Raw genomic sequence first — 18,893 nt, forward strand, 5'->3', positions numbered from 1 at the left:
AGAACATTGGGTCCAAATTTCAATCAGAAGTTTCCACAAGTGAAGTATTCAGCCACTCACTTTTTATGGTTCTGTTATGACACAAACTACTTGAGTTTTGAAAAACAAAATATTTTAGCCACCATTTTATTGACAGCTTCATTAAATTGTCAACAATTATATGAAAAATTATTTAGCAAAAGCAAACAAATGCGATCCCTTGTTAAGATAACTACAAGAATTTAATTTTTTTTAAATGAAAACAAGTTTATTAAGAAAGTAAAGCAATAAAGAGTGGCTATTCCATAGGCAAAGCAGCAGCCTGAGCTGCTGGTTGGCCATTTTTATGGTTATTTCTTGATTATATGCTAAACAAGGGGTGGACTATTCATGAGTTTTCTAGGAAAGGGGTGGGCAATTTCCTAGAACTGAGGGTTCCTCTCTTTTTTAGACCATACAGGGTAACTTCCTGATGTTGCCATGACACTTGTAAACTGTCATGGGGCTGGTAAGAGTGTCTTTTAGCATGCTAATATATTATAATTAGTGTATAATGACGAGTGAGAACGACAGAGGTCACTCTCGTCTCCATCTTGGCTTTGGTGGGTTTTAGCTGGCTTCTTTACTGTAACCTGTTTTATCAGCAAGGTCTTTATGACCTGTATCTTGTGCCAATCTCCTATCTCATCCTGTGACTTCGAATGCCTAACCTACTGGGAATGCAGCCCAGCCCAGTAAACCTCAGCCCCATTTTGCCTAGCCCCTATTCAAGATGGAGTTGCTCTGGTTAAAACGTCTCTGCCATATTTCCCCCCTCCATATTTTTAAGGAGGTAAATTTGAGTAGCAAGGTAGTAAGGAACTTCTTGTAAAAATGGCAATATGTATCAGTGATTCTCCCATCAGGGGCAAGACCATAGTTTGGTAAGGCACATTCTTTACTAGGTGAGAGCCAAGGGGAGTGACAGCAATCACCACATGAAATTAGGCATAATTCATAGTTTATCTGTATAGCAGATTGAAAACCCAGAAAAAAATTGAGAAATAAATATTGATGTAAATCATCAGATTTTTCAGCAAATATAGTCCTTGTTTCCCCCAAAATAAAACAAACATTTTATATTTTTAAATATTTTATTTTCCTGTTCTTTGTGAAAACATCAATAAATATCGAAACCTCTCTGCTCTAACACAGAGGGAAACACTGCATAATTAACATTAAACAAGGCAGTATGCCTTACAAGAAAGACATAAAATGTCCAAGGGATATTTAGAACATTTTAGTTCTTAAAGCTTCAACATGAGAAATGTTGACCACACACTGTGAAATCATTTCAATAAATAACAACTGACATTCATCTTTACAGTTACAAAATAGACACACATACATTTCCCTGCCGTCACATTGATCTCACTGGCCATTTTCTTGGATTCCTCAGCCTCTATCACAGTGGCTGACATGTGATATGTCATCACGAAGAAATATTAACAAATGACTAGAGAATATCTGCAAACCTTCTATCTTCAAATTAAATATGAATCAGGATTGAACTAACTTGGGTTTGACCTAAAATAAACAATAAATATAATGGGAGAGTGTGCAAGTAGATTCAATCATAACCTTATTTTACACATAAAATATTAACATAGAATCTTCTAAAACAAACAAATAAATAAATAAATAAATAAATAGAAGACTTCTCCTAAGTGATGCTCAAACACATTAGGCGCAATCCAGGTGGCCTCTGCAGCTGTGTCTCTCTTTCCTCTTCTGTTCCTGTAAGGGCAGGGCCTCCTTCAGGAACAGCCACCAATAAGCTTCCTCCTTCCTTCTGGTCAGTTGGATTTGCCACTGTAATGAGAAAATGGGTGCCCTGAGTAGGTGCTCAGGAAAGCTGACTGCACAACAGTCTTCTCCTGTCCTGTTTCCCCAGGCTCTAGAGTTTTCTGAATGCAGTTTCCCCAGCCTGGCACCCAAGTGGGTACTGCCTGTGACAGCTGTGCTGTGTGGCAAGGACCTCTAGGCTTGGGATGCTCTTTTAGGAATGGGGGTGACGTGGGGTGGAGGAGTGGCAGTCTACACTGTTTTACTGGCTAAAACAGCCAGAGCCTATTGCTCTTTGTCATACTGGGCCTCACTTGAGCCTCAAAGCAACCTCATGATGTAGCTACCATTATTTTCCCTGTTTTGCTGAGTCTCAGATAAACTAAATAATATTGTCTCTGAGTGACATGGCTAATAGGTGGTGGCAACCAGTTATATACCCAGTGCAATATTATTGTGAAATCTCTGCACTTCAACCCTAAACTTTTACAAAAAACCAGGGGGTCTGCTTTTCAGGTCTGAAAGTCAGTAGGAACTAGGGGAAATGAAGCTTGTGTTTTTTAACAGGTGGAAAACACTTCAGCACAACTGGCAAACTCCAATGAGACCTTACATGAAAGCAGTTTTACCTACATTCACTGGCAGGAGGGAAGAACCTGGGTGGTGACCCTGGGCACTGGGAATATCCTCTGGCACCAGAACAGATTAATAACCTTAATGGCAACTTTGTGAAAATAATAATTTTTTCAGTCCTGCAGCTAACCCTGGGTTTTCCTGATTTACTTTTTAGGGGGCAGACGCCAGTATTTCTGACCAACAGCTCCAGTCGCCTGTGTACATGGAAATTATAACTTACTTTTTCAGCATCTTTTCGATGATTTTCTTAACCATGGGCGATGCGGGGTTGAGACAAGCTTTCTGCCCATTCTTGAGTGTGGCTCTGCAGAGAGAAGGGAATCTCGTGAGACAGGAGGTCGGGCTGAGGACAGGGTTTGGGGCAGCGGGAGAGTCGGGGACCCCAGCAGTGGCAGCGGCAGCGATGGGCGAGACTTACATGACTTCGGTTTGGGCGCAGTGGGGTCCGGGGGACTTCACCTTCACACTTTGGATGTTCTTGAGGTGAATTCCCTGCAGGGTCTGCAAGCACTGGCAGCGCAGTTCAGTGGCCAGGGGCGCTCCTAGGGAAGAAGAGACTCGCTGATTGAGCGGGGCTGTCGGCGCGGGGCGCCCACCCCAGCCGCGTCCGGCCCGGGGACCCCAGGGCGCCGGGACCCACCTGCTGCGCGCCGGCTGGCGGCCACCAGGAGCAGGAGCAGCAGCGCCACCCGCAGGAGCCGGGGATTGCTGGGGGCGGCGGAGAGCGTGGCGCGGGCCATGGGGCTCAGCAGGCGGTTCGAGCGGCTGTGCGAGGAGGAGAGCTGGCAAGGAGCTGCCTGTGGCCCGGGCTCTGTGGCTCTCCGAGAACGGCGAACCCCTTTTATGCATGGTTGGGGCTGGAAAGCCCGGAGTCCCGGGCCAGGGAAATTCCCGGAGCTCCAGATCGATCCCGAGTTCGGAAGGAAGGCGATGGCCCCGCCTCTGGGGTGGAGGGGGGTCGGGGCACTCACGAGTGACGTCCGGGTCTGACTGTCTTGCGTAACTCCCGCCAACTGTGGGATGTTCTCTTTCTGCCCCGAATCCCTGGAGCGGGAGCGAGAGCCCGCCGCTCTCAGAGATACCGAGATAACCGCCTGCGAGGAGGCGCTTCGTGAACCCAGTGCAGTGCGTCGTGGGTCAGATCCCTTAGACCCACGTAGGGACCGCGCTACATCCTTACCGGGGGGAGTTACTTCTCTGGAAGACATTTCAGTTGTTGGGATTGAAAGTTAGGGCAAGAACTGCAGCATGTCTTATCTATCCTCTCTCTTTAGTTTGGGTTCTGCAAATTTCATTAATGTTTGAAATAAACGCACGCTTTAACAGTACATGTGTCATCTCAGATGACGCATAAGAGCTTTTGTCTCCTTCCTGGTGTTTTATGATCTTAAAAGCAAATATCACGTGTGTGTGTGTGTGTGTGTGTGTGTGTGTGTGTGTGTGTGTGTGTTTCAACGTAGTGGAGCCAGGTGTTGGGTGCGGGAACAGACCATTGCCAAGGGTCAATTCAGTGTTTATTTTAGTTAACAGTGTTGCAATCCCCCATCCTTTCTCTCTTTGAAATCTTGGAACATCTCGAACTCTAGTAATTCCAGTAGCATCAATTTTTTGTTGTATGGAAGTCTGTGTTTTGATCCATGGAAGTCACTGGGAGCTGCGAGGGGCCTGTTGGGCTCAGGAGGTCTGCCTTTTCTAGTGCTGTCCCTGGGCAGAAAAGGCCATAGACACCACCAGAAAAGGAGCAGGGAATGAGACTCCGCTTGTTTACTACTCTAAGCACAAGCAGACATGTCTGATATATACATACTAGATTGCTAACATAATTGCATTTCCATGCCATATGTATTTACCAGCATCCTGGGATTGGTTCCCTCTAGAGAAACAGCTATCGAGGAAATTTTAGTTCTAGAGGAATGTCAATAAAGCATTTCCAAGCCTGTTTAGCTGATGCCTTCTCACTGGATTACTGACTTTTCATCATCAATTTCAATGACCCCCTCTCTTTAAAAATTAAGCTGTAGGCCTACAATACTCTGTCTTAATTCTTCCTGGTGGATGCAGACTTCAGGGATATGGAGATATTCTGCCACTGCTATGAGAAGGGCTGGGAGTGGCACGAGGATGAAGAAGTGGGACTACCTTAGGAATAGAGTGTTCCCTGGATGCTGCAGCTGTAGAGATCACTTGATAAGGATGTCAGGGCTGAAGTTTCAGCCATACCACTAACTTGCTTCATGACCCTTGGTAATTTATGCTTTATTTGCTCATGTTTCTCCCCTGTAGAAGAGCTTATAATAGTGCCTGCCTCACGGGGTTGTTAGAAGTATTGATTGTTAATATGTGTAAACCATCAGTGCATGTAAAGTGTTATGTAAATATTTGTTAAATAACAAAATAGAAGTGGTGTTTCACAACCTTACTGATATAGGCTGGATGTTTGTGTCTCTTTCAAATTCAGATGATGAAGCCCTGACTCCCTTATGTGCTAATATTAGAAGACAGGACCATGGGAAGTAATTAGGTTTAGGTGAGGTTATGAAGGTATGGCCCCCATGATGGGATAAGTGCCATTACAGCAAGAGATCAGTGAGCTTTCGATCTCTGGCTCTCTCTCCCTTTCTGCATTGTGAGGACACAGCAAGAAGGCCACCATCTGCAAACTGAGAAGAGGGCCCTCACCAAGCATGAAATCTGCCAGGATCTTAATCTTGGACTCCCCAGCCTCCAGAACTGTGAAATAATTGTTGTTTAAGCCCCCTAGCCTATGGCATTCTGTTATAGCAGCTCAAACTGACTAAGACACTTAACTAAACAGAAGCACTCTGATAAAGCCTTATGAACACACACACGCACAAAGAAAGAAATATTTTCAAAGAAACATCTTCTAATTTACCTTTAAAATTTTTCAGCATCAGAAATTTTAAAGGAGGGTGCATTTCTATCCTTATGGGATCTTACAATAATTTTTTGATCCATTGTTTGTTTGAAATTTTAGTTTCAATCACTTTCCACATAAAATGAGAATAAGAGTAAAATTCTACCCTATCCATTTATTAGAAAAGATTTATGAAATGACTCTGCCTTGGGCATTAACAGCTAGCTGCCCAAACTTCTTTATTTTGTGCTAAAGAACTAAAGAACAATAGAAAACATCAGCTTATAATGATTGCCAGACTCATCCCAAAGTATTGATGTGAGTAAATAGAAAGAGTAAAATTTCTATTATCTACAGTAACAGTCCCTCAAAAAGATGAGAAATTTCAAGAATCAGCCCATCATTTGTAAAATTATGTACGTTATTCCTAGAATTTGTTTACTAAAAATTATTTGCTTTAGGAAGGGAAGTAGAATTCCTTTTTCTTTTCTTAATATACCACTTTCCATGATTTAACTTATGACAGCCCCAGACCAAGCTTCTGAAGTTTTTAAGGGTACCAGTGTTATGAAACTTACCATAATAAATTCCTTCTTGTCTTAATATGAGTTGAGTGCCACTGTTACAGGCACAAGTTGTAAACCCATGCAATTACTAACTCAAAGATGCTATCTCTAAAATGGAAGTACAGTTTCCTAAATTCCATTCTCCCCTTTAATTTTTATTGTATTTTTCAGATTTGACTAGTACAATCTAATATACCTGCAAAATGTAGGCTTGCTGCTCCATGCCGACCACTGACATTCTTGTTACTTGGGCAGCAAAATGAGTGGTGTGGCTCTGCTTTACCGTGAATTGCCTTGAAGACTTTGCTGATATAACCTCCAACATATAGCTTGCTCCTCTAGAGGAACAGACTAGAAAATAAATAAAGAAGTACAACTGATTTTAGAGATAGATCTGATGGAGGTTGAGATATGGGGCTCTGGAATTACAGAATAGAAGACAGATAACATGGTTCATGATAAGACTTGTTAGTCCTCACACTGTTTATGCTTAGTGACTCCTTTGCTTTCAGGTTTTGCTGCCACGCATACAAAGTGGACAGTGGTACAACCCCTTTGTTGTGTCTGACTGCATGAAGAAATACATAATTGACTTAGTTACATACTATGTGTATTTCTTGTTATTTTTTTCACTAAAGAATTAAGGCAGTCTCTCAATGACCAGAGCCTAGGAATACTTCCTAGTATTATAAACATTGCAATTGACATGTTCTGTGGGGCTTTTGTGATTTTTTGAAAACTGTGGTTTATATTCATTGTGCTAAAGTTTTCCTTACTGGCTCTGGCACCCCGGCTTTGGGTTGTGGTCCTGCGGAAGAAACATTCTTCCTTGTCTGTGGTTCTTTAGTGGATTGCTTGTTAGCTCAGGGATTGTGGCCACCACTCATCGAAACATGTGCTCTGGAGATAAAGCGCCAAAGGAAAAGAAGGGAAGTAATATTTATTTATTAGATTCCAATTCTTGATTAGATGCAGTGCCTGAGTTTTTCAGTGTACTGTCATTTTAATAATTTCAAGAATGCTGGGAGGCTGGTATCATGAGTCTTATTTTATAGGTAAGGAAACTGGAGTACAAGGTCTTAGAAGTGGAATTAAATTCAAACCCAAGACTGTCTGACTCAGAAGCTCATAGCCAGTCTTTCTCTAGACAAGAAAGGAAGTGACAGGAGAAGAAGAGGACATGTAAAAGAATCTTAATTAAGTCTATGGAGGATATTTTATTATTTTTCAACCCTACCAGAAAACAATGCATTTATTAAAATATTTAATACAGTTTTGATTAGGAACCAAACAGACATGTAGAAGTGATGACAACTAGTAGCCTCCAGAGTCCCAGCAGCCCAGAGAATCTCCTGCTTATTGTGCCGTCAGCCCCCAAATTCATTCCATGAAGTTCCCAGCAACTCCCAACACCATATCAGAATCTGATATTATGATTGAAGGCAGGCTGGGAGTGGTGTCTCACACCTGTAATTCCAGCACTCTGGGAAGCCAAGACAGTAGGATCACTTGAGGCCAGGAGTTCAAAACCAGCCTGAGCAAGATAGTGAGACCCTGTCTTTATGGAAAAAAAAAAATTGAAGGCAGATGGTAGCGTAGGTAAAGGATCTAGCTAAGCATCTTACCTCTAGCAGCTCTTAAAGTATCTTAGAAGGCACTAATAAGAAGGTAGATACCACTATAAACTGTTAAAGGTTGGTCTGTCATCAAGAGACTAGAGCAATATTTCAATATGTATAAACTACAAGTCATGATCCACTGGAGGGTCATAAAGTCAGTTTTGTGGGTTGTAACCAGTATTTAAAAATATAAAGGGGCAGTGGCTCATGCCTGTAATCCCAGAACTTTGGGAGGCCAAGGCGGGCAGATCAGGAGGCCAAGAGATTGAGACCATCCTGGCCAACATGGTAAAACCCTGTCTCTACTAAAAATACAAAAAAAAAAATTAGCCGGGCATAGTGGCAGGTGCCTGTAGTCCCAGCTACTTGGGAGGCTGAGGCAGGAGAATAGCTTGAACCTGGGAGGAAGAGGTTGCAGTGAGCTGAGATTGCACCTCTGCACTCCAGCCTGGCAACAGAGCGAGACTCCACCTAAAAAAAATATAATTGTATATATACATACACATATATATATGAATAAAATAGGATAGAATTTTAAAATGCATGTGCCATAATGCATCACATATTGTTAGTTTAACTGTTATTTTATGACACTTTTGTGTCTTATATAGATAGGTAACTGTGTAAAACTAAACATTTGATGCACAAGATGCAAAAACAGAACTCCCAGGAGTGAAAATATCCCTTCAGAGACGTTATTATATTGATCAAGGCTGTGACTATATAATAAGTTCCCAGTTTGTAGACATTATCTCCTGAGAATTTCCAATCAGGAAAAAAAAGTTGAAGCATATTCCATTTTAATGTCATCACTCCCTAAAAGTTTGCACAACAGGGAGTTCCAGTAAATTGCTGAGCTTTTCCCAGCAGGAATGCCAGGTTCGGATGTTCCTGCTGATAAGGGTGGCCACTTGGCAGTGTTCTCAGCAGAGTTGAAAGATTAACATAGTACCAGTATTGGTTCGCTTAGCAGAATTTGTTTCAGTCCCTTGGTCATTTGGGCCACACCGACGAATTATTATATCCAGCTATGAATGTTGCTTGTGGCAGGTACAAAAGGGAAATAAAGAAAATATTAAACCTTAATACTTTACCATTGTCACCCTACTTCCTGGTGTGTTAATTTTTCAAAAAAAATCAGTGGAAGTACCTGTTCAATTTTAACATTCTTTGTTTATTTTTGCCAAAATCTTTGTCTTTTCTAAGTGTCTAACTCAACCTACCAAATTATCTATGACAGTACACAAATAACAATATACTAATATGAAAATTATAATTATGAATAATAACTAATAATAACAAAAATGCTCTTTTGTACTTTTTATATCTGGAAGAGGGCTGAGATTTTGCATGCATGTGCATATGTGTGTGCATGTGTGTGTGTGTGTATGTGTATAATATCTCCTTACATGTAGACACAAACTCAAGAGATAGATACTCAAAATATGCCCATTTTTCACATTATGAAACCAAGGTATCTGCCATACTAACAAAATTGGAACTCAAAATATGGGTGAAAGAGAAACTTTGAATGTTTATACGTATGTGAGTGACATGGTTGTATTTGTATTTTAGCAAAATAACTTTTGTGGCATTGAAGGTAAAATGCAGGGGAAATATTTAGGTTACCTGGGATCATTTTGATATTTTCCAAAATTGTTTCTAAGATTTATTATTGTGGGTCCACAATACCCCTTAGTTTTGGATTAATTTGACCCACAGAAGGTATTGAGGCAATACCTTTCTGAAAACTCCATATTTGAGCCTGAAGCATGCTTTGACTTTTTCAAGACCAATATGAATTTTATATGCTAACAATGTAACCACATTCTTTGTTTCTATTATAGAATTTTATTGAATTTAATACATATATTATTAATTTATAATACATAAATTATTTGTTGGATACAAATTGAAAGTCTTTGGACTACAGAGGAGTTTCTGTAATAATATATTTATCTGGGATGTAATCCTTTTCTGTTACATCTTTACTGTCATTTTTTTCTCTACTTTGCGTGCATATCCATGATAAAAATAGGTAGAAAATACAGTTTTGTGAGATAAAACATTGTTAGCTCTCTTGTATACCTGCAACAATTACACTTGGAACAAAACAATAACGGTGGCTATATTTTAAATTTTAAGGTCCCAACAGTCCCGTATAAAAGTCTAATCTCTACGGTCCTTAAACTCATTTCCTTTAAATCAGATTAAATTTGACTATATGCCTTCATTCCACCAAGGAGAAAACTATTCAATCTCAGTCATTATTGTAGCTCCCAGACCACACTGAAAGTACAAAAGGTCCCAAGGGATTTATCCAAGCAAAATATTCAGGGCTGTCCATCTGTACTTTGACTTATACTTGTTTTCCATAAAAGGACAAACATTGATATGGTCATTTTAAGTGCAGCACTGTCCAGCTCTTATCCATTCTGTAGCACAGAAATCTTTGCTAAGGTTGGTAATAACAGTGCTTGGTAATCTCTTAAGTACAAAGTACAGTCTTTCTTCCAGAGTCCTGCCACCTCCCTGGAAGGAGAGAGCAGCAAGGAGAAACAAAACCGTTAATTTTGGCAGTGTGTGAAACACTGTGATGGCCCCTTTTCCCTTCCCACTCCTCCCTCCCTGTGGCACACAGCCAGGAAGCAGATGAAGGATAGTTCGTGAGTTCAAAAAGAAGGGGAGATTTGAGAGTGGTAAGAAAAATAAAATAATGAATGATTCTCAAGAGAGGGAAAAGAGAGGCACATCCAAGGGATTTGAGGTTACTTAGCTAACTTTGAAAGTTTTGCCAACTGGTAGTCCAAGATTCAGGAATGAGGATTTTGAAATGAGAAATAAAGTTAAAGTAGCTGAAAAGGTGGAATGGAGACTAGGAGCTACTTCTGTGCTCCAGTGCCCTTCTGGTTCTATATTTTCTTCTTGCCTTATTCAGATGTTTGCCAAACTAACATTCAGGCCATGTAGGACATTGACTACACTGTCTCTCCTCTTCCTCAGTGCAGTTCTAAGGCTACACATATACTCAACCACTGGACTTATTTATTAAACAGCAACCATATTTCCAGGATTGAGGGAGCCACTGAGATCCAGAAATCAAAGTGTCTATTCCTTCCCTCACAAGAGCCACACTCTGGTTGAGCAGACAGGGATGTCAACAGGTGGTAATAACCCAGTGTTTATGCTAGGCATTGTGTATGATTACATATGTAAGGAACTGGGGATAAAAAGAAGGGCAAAATACTGAATTTGTCCTTAAAGTGCTTAAATTCTAAAATGTAGAATAAACAATTTTTTTAAAAAAATGTATTATGTTATGGTCAGTTCCATATGGGGTCCATTACTGCTCTTAGACTCAGGAAAGAAGGTCCCCCTGTCCTGAGCCTAAGCTTCAGAAGATCTCACTAGCACAACCTTGCAAAAAAACCACAAATGTATTAGAGAACCCCGGGGGGCACTTCTGCCACCTGAGGAACCAGAGCCTAGAGTGGGCGCCAAATGACCCTTAACCTCCTAAACTTCCTTAACACTAGATACTTACTTTCTTGATTAACGAAGTTCAAGCCCAAGGCTGAGATCCCAGAGGGACACAGTGGGGAGCCTAAAGAATAATGATCATGGTGGTTGAGCTCCCTTCTGTTCTCTTTGGCTCTGGAATGACTATGAGGAGCTCAAAGCATATTTACAAACCAAAATTTTCACAGGGAACTTGGCCGAAGAAGCTTGGAAAAAGTCAAGAGGACCATGTATCCTTACTGCCGACTATTTCCACATTTTCCACATCTTTTTCTGAGATCAGTTAATAAGCATAACCCTAAGGAATCAGTCCACCAGATGCTTTTTAATTTATTCTGAAAGCTCAGTGTCTAGGTAACTTACCACAGCTGACATATTACAATGTGTGAATATAGCATCAAATGTATGCTTTGTTTCTGCATCCAAGTAGTGCTTTAGGAATCTTATTGTCACTGCATTAGAAGAGTAAAATGTCTCCAAATTTAAATTAATTATAAATAAATGTAAGAAATGATTGAAGCATCATCTAAAATGGCACTATTGTCTATAGAACAAAAATTATGTGACCATTTCAATTATAAAAATGTAATTACTAATTTTGCTGAAGTGAAGAAAAATAAATTTTATATAATAAATATAGAATAATAGAATAAATCTTAAATTATGCATGATTTTATTTTGTATGCATCCAGACATTGCCTACACAATAACAGAATACCCAGATATGGAATTACAAATTCACTTTTCTCTGATATTTTGCTGATTCTCATCATACAAATTCCATAACTTTATATATTTTTAAAATGTTATTAATATATGGTCATGTGTCACATGAAGATCAGAACGCATTCTGCAAAATCTGGCATTAGGCTGTTTCCTCCTTGTGTGAACATCTTAGAGTCCACTTATGCAAACCCAGATGGTGTAGCCTACTCCACACCTATGCTATATGCTCTATTCTATTCTCCCAGGCTACAAGGCTGTACATCATGTTGCTGTACTGAATACTTAGGCAATTGTAACACAACAGTATTTGTGTATCTAAACACACAAAGGATACAGTAAATATATATATTAATAGTACTGTAATCCTATGTCCTCACCATTGTGTATTCCAACTGTAGTTGTCCAAAATGTCATTATGTAGTGCATGACTGTATATCTGTGAAGACAGGAAGATCCTCAGACTCATTTTATTTAACATTTTGTTAGCTAGTTAAGAAAACCGTAAATATTTAGACAGAGAATCATGGGCTTCTCTGAACTCTCTCTCAAGACCCCACAATTGTTAGATATGGCCTCATGAAGCATTGAAGAGTGCATATGGAGGAAAATTATGAAAAATTATCCTAGAACAGATGACTGAAAAGATGAATTTTGGAAAAAATCTAGGTTATTATAACATATTTTAATTTGTACTAATTTTGACACCCCCTCAGAGGAATTTTTATGTTTTTGAAACAAGAATTATTTCTGTTTTTATCTACACACAGAGTTCATTTTATAAGTGCTTGGAACCCAACAGAGCTTAATGAATTGAATAGGATGTTCTTGGGAAAGAGAGTATAGATAATACGCTTCAATAGTTAAGACATCAGGTGAGAAAGCCATTAATTTTAGTTAAAATTACCATTTTAATTAGTCATTTTATGATAACATAGACAATGGAAGATGATTAAGAAAAATGAAGAATCAGCATTTCTTGATTCTTCAATAGACACTTGAAAAACTACAACACAAGGAAAACCCACTGTTTGATGGTCTAAGATCCTATCCCACTATGCTGACATTTGTCAAAACACTTAAATTGTTTGGTTTAAAGAAACTCCTTTTTATCCCTGCTACTAATACAAAGAATATACTTGTGTTTGTTCATTGAAGAGTTTCTAAGTATTAGAATTTCAGCAACAGGAAATTCATTTCTCAACTTGTATTCTTCACACAAAAGGCATCAAATTGCTCATGAGTTAATAGGTTGACAGCTATTGTCATTTCCTGGTGGGAAACTTTCATAGTTAGAGGAAAAGAAGGCTGAACACCAGATGCTGTTCATCATGTATTTTGGGATATGTTCTTGAAGGTCTGAGATTTACACTGAATTTATAAAGCAATGCCATTGAGTCAAGTAGAGAAGAATCTAGATTATAGAACAAGGCTGTGAAGTCAGATGGTTGTGCCAACAGTGTCTGCTGTGCAGAACCTTTAGCTCCCACTTCTCTCTCACATGCACTGAGTCAGAAAATGCTATTTTGTAGGCTGTAGCTACTTGTCAGGTTTATGACTCAACAAACTGAAATATTAGCCAAATGAAATATTGTTGTGCAATTCAGGGTGCTCACTCATAGCACATACAGTGTTGAATATAATCATCTATAGCTTCAAATGTGCTGGTCATGAGTCCACTAAGAAATGCAGAAAAGAAGCAAGAGGAGAAACAGTCTGACCTTAGCTGCAAAGGGCACCAGGATGCCAGCATGCTAGAGTCATGCTGGTTTCCCCCTTCATGGAAGTGACAGGCCCATGACAAATTTACGCAAATATGACATGGAAAATAATTTCTTGAAGAAAACTTCTTTTGCCATATGTTTCCTGGTTTTCTTCTGGTTTGGCCTGTGAATGGTATCAGTTTATTTTCGAGTCTAGTATCCAATATTCCTGGAAGCTAGGGCTGAGGAATGTTCATTTCACAGGATGGCCAAGGTCTGATATGCAAGGCTGGGATTGAGTGAGGCCCCAGGGCAGGCTGAGAACAGGAAGCGGTTTCACTGACATTCCATTCCTTTCTCTCCCTGACCACTCCCATCTCAGAGTGGCCAAGGATCACTGAAGAAATAGTAATTGTCATCTAAACCTCATAACAGGGGTGTCTGGCACTTGAGAGTTGACCCACTTCAATTTATTCAAGCTCCCACTCAAAAAAACTCTCCTTGACTTACAGGATATGAATACCAATTCCCTAAAGCAAAGCATAGTGAGAATTTCAGTAAAAGAAAAGAAACGAAAACCCCAGAAAAAGTATTCAGTAATTGAAGAGTCACCATCCCGAGGGTCCTATAGGAGCTCACCCTTGGTCGGTGAGAACTACTCAGTCAGCCTCACTTACCTCATTGCTCTGGCCAGCTCATACAGGCTTACAAGAGCAGGTTATTAAATGGTCAGGAATTTTGATAGCCAGTTATTCATTGTTGGAAGCATAAATTTGACCACAGTGGGAGTGTTTATGGAAATCAGCAAATGCTACAAATCTGATTTTTTTTTAAATTTGAAAGCTGTTTTACCAACACACCGCGGCTTATAGCTCTGCATAAACATAATCTGTATCAACTTTATCCTCTTTTTCCTCCCCTTACTATAGCCTCTGTCCTCTGCCCTCATTATCCTCTGCTGGGATCTCTTGAATATTTTTTCCCCTTTAGCTGGTTTTCTCTTTCACTCATTGATTTGTCCTGGGTTTCATCATCTAGGCAACTCTCACGCACAGAAAATTCTTGGGAGTTGTTCTCACTAGACTGATAGCAATACCACTTTTATTTATTATTATTATTATTATTATTATTTTGAAACAAGCAAAGGCTCTAGGAATGAAATACTAGAAGATGAAGGATTTTTTTCTTCTGGATCATAAATCTGGGCATCCCATGCCTACATGTTCTGGGACTCATGAGGCATTCTATTGATCCCCAAATTGCTATTAATAGATACCAAGTGAAAATTTGGTATCTCTTCCCATCAGCCCTAATCTCAGAATGCATTATCTTTTCTAAGCAACAACTGAAGCCTGTGTGCACTAGCAGTTAAATGTGTATCTGCAGGAGGTTTAAATATTCCTAAGTGAATGTGGGAAGTGGTAGTGTATTTTGGAATTCAAGGGATCTTAGAAATAATGTAGTCTAATTTGCTCATTAGTCTGGTGAGTAAACAGAGTTTCAGACAGATTAGCAGTTAGTGGTAGAATCAGTACTAGAATTCAGATCCCTGGCTTCCTCTTCTGGGCATTTTCAAATCTGCAACAATGTCTATCTTAATTAACATTATAATTAGGACCAAGATAATCTTCATTCAACTCAACAAATATTTTTTGACTACCAGATATATTTCTATGTGCACTTATTTTATACTAGGTACTGTTCCAGGAGTTGAGACTACCAAGAAGTTCTCTACTTTTTAGAGCATTCTTTTGAGAACTAACATTATTTGTATTAGTATGACTTAACTCTTTGTTCCAGGAAATTCTTACATAGAAAATAAAACTAAGCTCATGGAGAACTTTGCCATTTGCTTGAGGAAATTCTTCTAAGTCAGTTTATTCAGGACATCAGTTTGCACATCTGAGCCAGCAGATCACTCCTCAGACAAGTTCGCTTTTTCTAGCAAGACCCTCACCTGTTTTGTCCACTAACTCTATTATGTCAACAACTGTGCCCAATTCCAGTCCATTCCCTACCTTGTCAGATCAGTTTTAAACATTTTGAGTCCAATTCTCTGAACATCCTCCTTCTGAGACACTAAAATGCTGTCAGAGCATTGTTCCTCCTGTTGAGTAATTCTAATAAATTTAACGTTTCCTGATTGAAGGGGTTTTTTGTTGTTGTTGTTGGTAGTATTTCTGATGAATTGGCAGTTGATATGTTCTATTGGAGACTAGAACATAAGAATGGGGAAGGTGATACTTATAATAATCTATCTGGGTATAGTTAGGATCTTCACATGCCACACTATGTAGTGACATAATTTGACCTGGAAATAGCTGGTCACATTGGCTATATTGATAGCAACAGGAGATAGACAAATTCTTAGGCAGACAGGGATGCGTCCCTGGTAAAACCTGATCTCCAAGCCAAAGACAGCCTGAAGACTGAAAACTGAGCTGCCAGTTCGGGGTAGAGCCCATGACCAGAGTGAGAATTTCCTCGATGCCTTTTAGCCAATATAATGATGCTTTTTCCAGGCCCACCCATGGACCAATCAGCATACACTCCCCCATTCTGAACCCATAAAAACCCCAAACTCAGCCTTACAGACAGCCACCTGCTTTTGGGCCTCCTCTCACACAGAGGACCATCCACTTCAAGTCCCCTCTTGTGTTGAGAGCTTTTCTGCCACTCAGGAAAATTCTTCTCTGCTTTGCTCACTCTCCGGTGTCTGTGTACGTCATTCTTCTTGGTCACAGGACAAGAACCCGGAACATGCCAAAAGGGTGTAACACATACTCCTGCTCACTGAGTTACAGGAGTGAAAAAAACCACTGGGTGCCGCATGCCCCTATTTAGCAGGTACAAATGAGCTGTAACACAACACACCCCCATCCTCCAAGCTGCAGGCAGCAGGGAGAGCTGTAACATGCCTCCATCCTCCGAGCTGCAGGCTCAAAGAAGTGAAGCAGTTAGGCACTATTCCCTCCTGGCCAGCTTGCTGAACTACAAAAGCTGCAACATTTCTTGGGAGCTTAGACCTCAGGATTCCCCAGGCGAGAGCTGTAACATCACCTGGGGCTCCACAGTTGCTGGCATCTCTGAGTTTTCAGGTGCCACTGCATTCCCCTCATCTAGACTCCGGCTCCCAATGCAAAAGCTGCCTGTGGCATGCCAAGTTTAGCCACAGGCAAAACACAGAGTCCCTGTTCAGATGTGGGATCCAAGCAGGTAGCACAAGCTGAGTACAGCCCATCAGGCTGAGTGGGAAGAGTGAGCCCAGCAGGCCTTGGCAAGACTACAGGCAGAGGTCACAGCAGCCACAGAGATTTCCAGCTGGTGAAGCAGCACTGAAGGAGTCCTGTAACAGTATGTTAGTCTACAAACTTGGTAAATTCTCATTCTCTGTTTTCTGTGACATTTTGATTTTAAAAATTTTATTCTCCAATACATCGCAAGGACTGGATATCTTGCCCTCTATTTTGAAAGTATGGTGTCCAAATTCATAGGAGAAGGCAAGGGTAGGTGACTCAGAAGGCACACACACCAAAAAGAGTCATTGGAGGAACAACCCAGGAAGCCATAGAAGAATGTTATCCCAAACTAGATGGAAAAGTTTTGTTTTTATGTAATTTAGAAAAACATTCTTATTATTTATTTGCTTAAAGTTTGTCACCATTTTTTCAAATTTTTTTTATAGAATGCCATCCTATTTAAACTACTATCCACAACATGAAATATAGTTACCACAAACATAAAAATAGCCAAGTGGTGGAATGGGGAGGAGGGACCCTGAACTGTTGACCAGGAGGTGGCCTCTGGTAAGCCTCACCATACCTTGATGAAAGAGCCCTCAAAACTCTCCATCTCCTTTGACTTTAATTCTGTACAATCTTCTAATTTAGATACTGATATAGTTTGGATGTTTGTCCACTCCAAATCTCATGTGGAAATGTGATTCCCAATGTTGGAGGTGGGGTCTGGTGGGAGGGGAATGGATCTTGGGGACAGATTCCTTATGAATCGCTTAGCACCATTCCCCTTGGTGATAAGTGAGTTCTTGCTCAGTTAGCTCATGTGAGATCTGGTTGTAGAGTCTGGGACCTTCCCTCTTCTCTCTTTTGATCTCTCTCTCACCATGTGACAATCACTGCTCTCCCTTTTTCTTTTGCCGTGATTGTAAGTTTCCTGAGGCCCTCACCAGAAGCAGTTGCTGAAGTCATGCTTGCATAGCCTGCAGAACCATGAGCCAATTAAACCTCTTTCCTTTATAAGTTACCCAGTCATGGTTATTCCTTTATAGTGCTTTATAGTCCTTTATAGTGACTCATAAATGGCCCAATACAGGTACTTAGCCTTTTGGTTAAAAGATACCAACACATAGGTGACTAGATTGCAGATCATTGGCATTTTGAATTGTTTTTTAAGTACCCATATTACTGTGGTTTACGCCAAATTGAATCTATTATGTAGAAATATGCCTATAAAACTACTTTCAAATTTGTACAAATATCAGTTTCTCAAAGCGTATATATATATATATATGCATGCATGTGTATGTGTCTGTTTAAAATACACCTGCTGGGGATTAGCATTGAGCTGAAAGACAAGGTCCTGCCCTTGCCCTAGAAGAGTTTGCAGTGTAGATGGAGACCACCTGACACCTCACCTGATCCCTGATAGCAATTCCAGGCCAACTTTCCTAAGCACTATGGGAATTCAGACTAAGGGCCAGATCACCGTTGCCTGAGATTCCATTGTGATGTTAGAATTCACATTCTCATTCTTATTCAATAGAACTGACTCGTTCACCAGAGCACCTACTATGTTCCAGGTGGTATCATAAGAACTTGGGAGACATCACTAAACAAAATAGAAAAATCCCTGCCCTTATGGAGCTGACATTCTAGTGGGGGCTTGGTTTTTTTCCTTGGGTACTGGGTTTGTTTTTCCATGATGAGCATATCCTATGATGCACTATAGCACTCAAGCAAGATGCCTGAAGCAAAGGAGGTGAGTCACCATCACTGGGATAAAAAAACAGGTCAGAGAAGTAGAAGTTATTTTCTCTTATAATTTTAAATTTTGCCTTAAGCTCTTCTTTTGAAATGTTCTAGGCCAAAGTAATGATTCATGGATTCAGCACACTTTCCTTTGTTGAAAAGCACTGCTTGTTCCCCCTCAAAGCTATGTGAGAGGCTGTGTAGGAGAGAGTGGAGAGCAGGTAGCCTACCGGACCTACAGTTCACCATTTCAGCCCTGTAATTGACCAGCTGTGGGACCTCAGGTAAGCTGGCTAACCTCTCTCTTACCAATGGTAGATGACTATGAAAGCTCCAAACTCTCTCACAAACATAGGAGATTATTAGCATACAAATTAATGTCTAGGTTTGTGGGTCTTGAGGCTTCAGTGGAGGTCATGGGCAAAGCTGCAAAGAGCATGGGAATTAAAATACATGCTCCA

At 40.3% G+C, this 18,893-nt stretch overlaps 2 protein-coding genes across 7 annotated transcripts in view, besides 2 other annotated features; one reads left to right on the forward strand and one right to left on the reverse strand.

Annotated features, from left to right (window-relative positions):
* On the reverse strand, positions 1,099-3,254 carry CXCL2 (C-X-C motif chemokine ligand 2). The gene is made up of 4 exons (NM_002089.4): positions 3,080-3,254; positions 2,858-2,981; positions 2,660-2,743; positions 1,099-1,830 (listed from the first exon to the last, which is right to left on the reverse strand). Exons 1-4 carry the CDS (start codon positions 3,177-3,179, stop codon positions 1,815-1,817), a joined length of 324 nt encoding a protein of 107 aa, NP_002080.1. The 5' UTR covers positions 3,180-3,254; the 3' UTR covers positions 1,099-1,814.
* Positions 13,571-13,865: an enhancer, noted in NCBI's record as "tiled region #1179; K562 Activating DNase unmatched - State 6:EnhF". NCBI's record gives its function as "activates a minimal TATA promoter and a strong SV40 promoter by Sharpr-MPRA in K562 cells {active_cell/tissue: K562}" and the evidence as "EXISTENCE:reporter gene assay evidence [ECO:0000049][PMID:27701403]".
* Positions 15,151-15,445: a silencer, noted in NCBI's record as "tiled region #14567; HepG2 Repressive non-DNase unmatched - State 23:Low". NCBI's record gives its function as "represses a minimal TATA promoter and a strong SV40 promoter by Sharpr-MPRA in HepG2 cells {active_cell/tissue: HepG2}" and the evidence as "EXISTENCE:reporter gene assay evidence [ECO:0000049][PMID:27701403]".
* The window catches only part of MTHFD2L (methylenetetrahydrofolate dehydrogenase (NADP+ dependent) 2 like), a 188,540-nt gene continuing 188,265 nt past the window's right edge, over positions 18,619-18,893 (forward strand). For all 6 annotated transcript variants that reach the window (XM_047415712.1, XM_047415715.1, XM_047415716.1 and 3 more), the window contains exon 1: positions 18,619-18,716. The gene's annotated coding sequence lies outside the window, so the exon portion shown is untranslated. The remainder of the gene's footprint in view (positions 18,717-18,893) is intronic.

This window comes from Homo sapiens, chromosome 4, assembly GCF_000001405.40.
Source record: "Homo sapiens chromosome 4, GRCh38.p14 Primary Assembly".
NCBI lineage: Eukaryota > Metazoa > Chordata > Mammalia > Primates > Hominidae > Homo > Homo sapiens.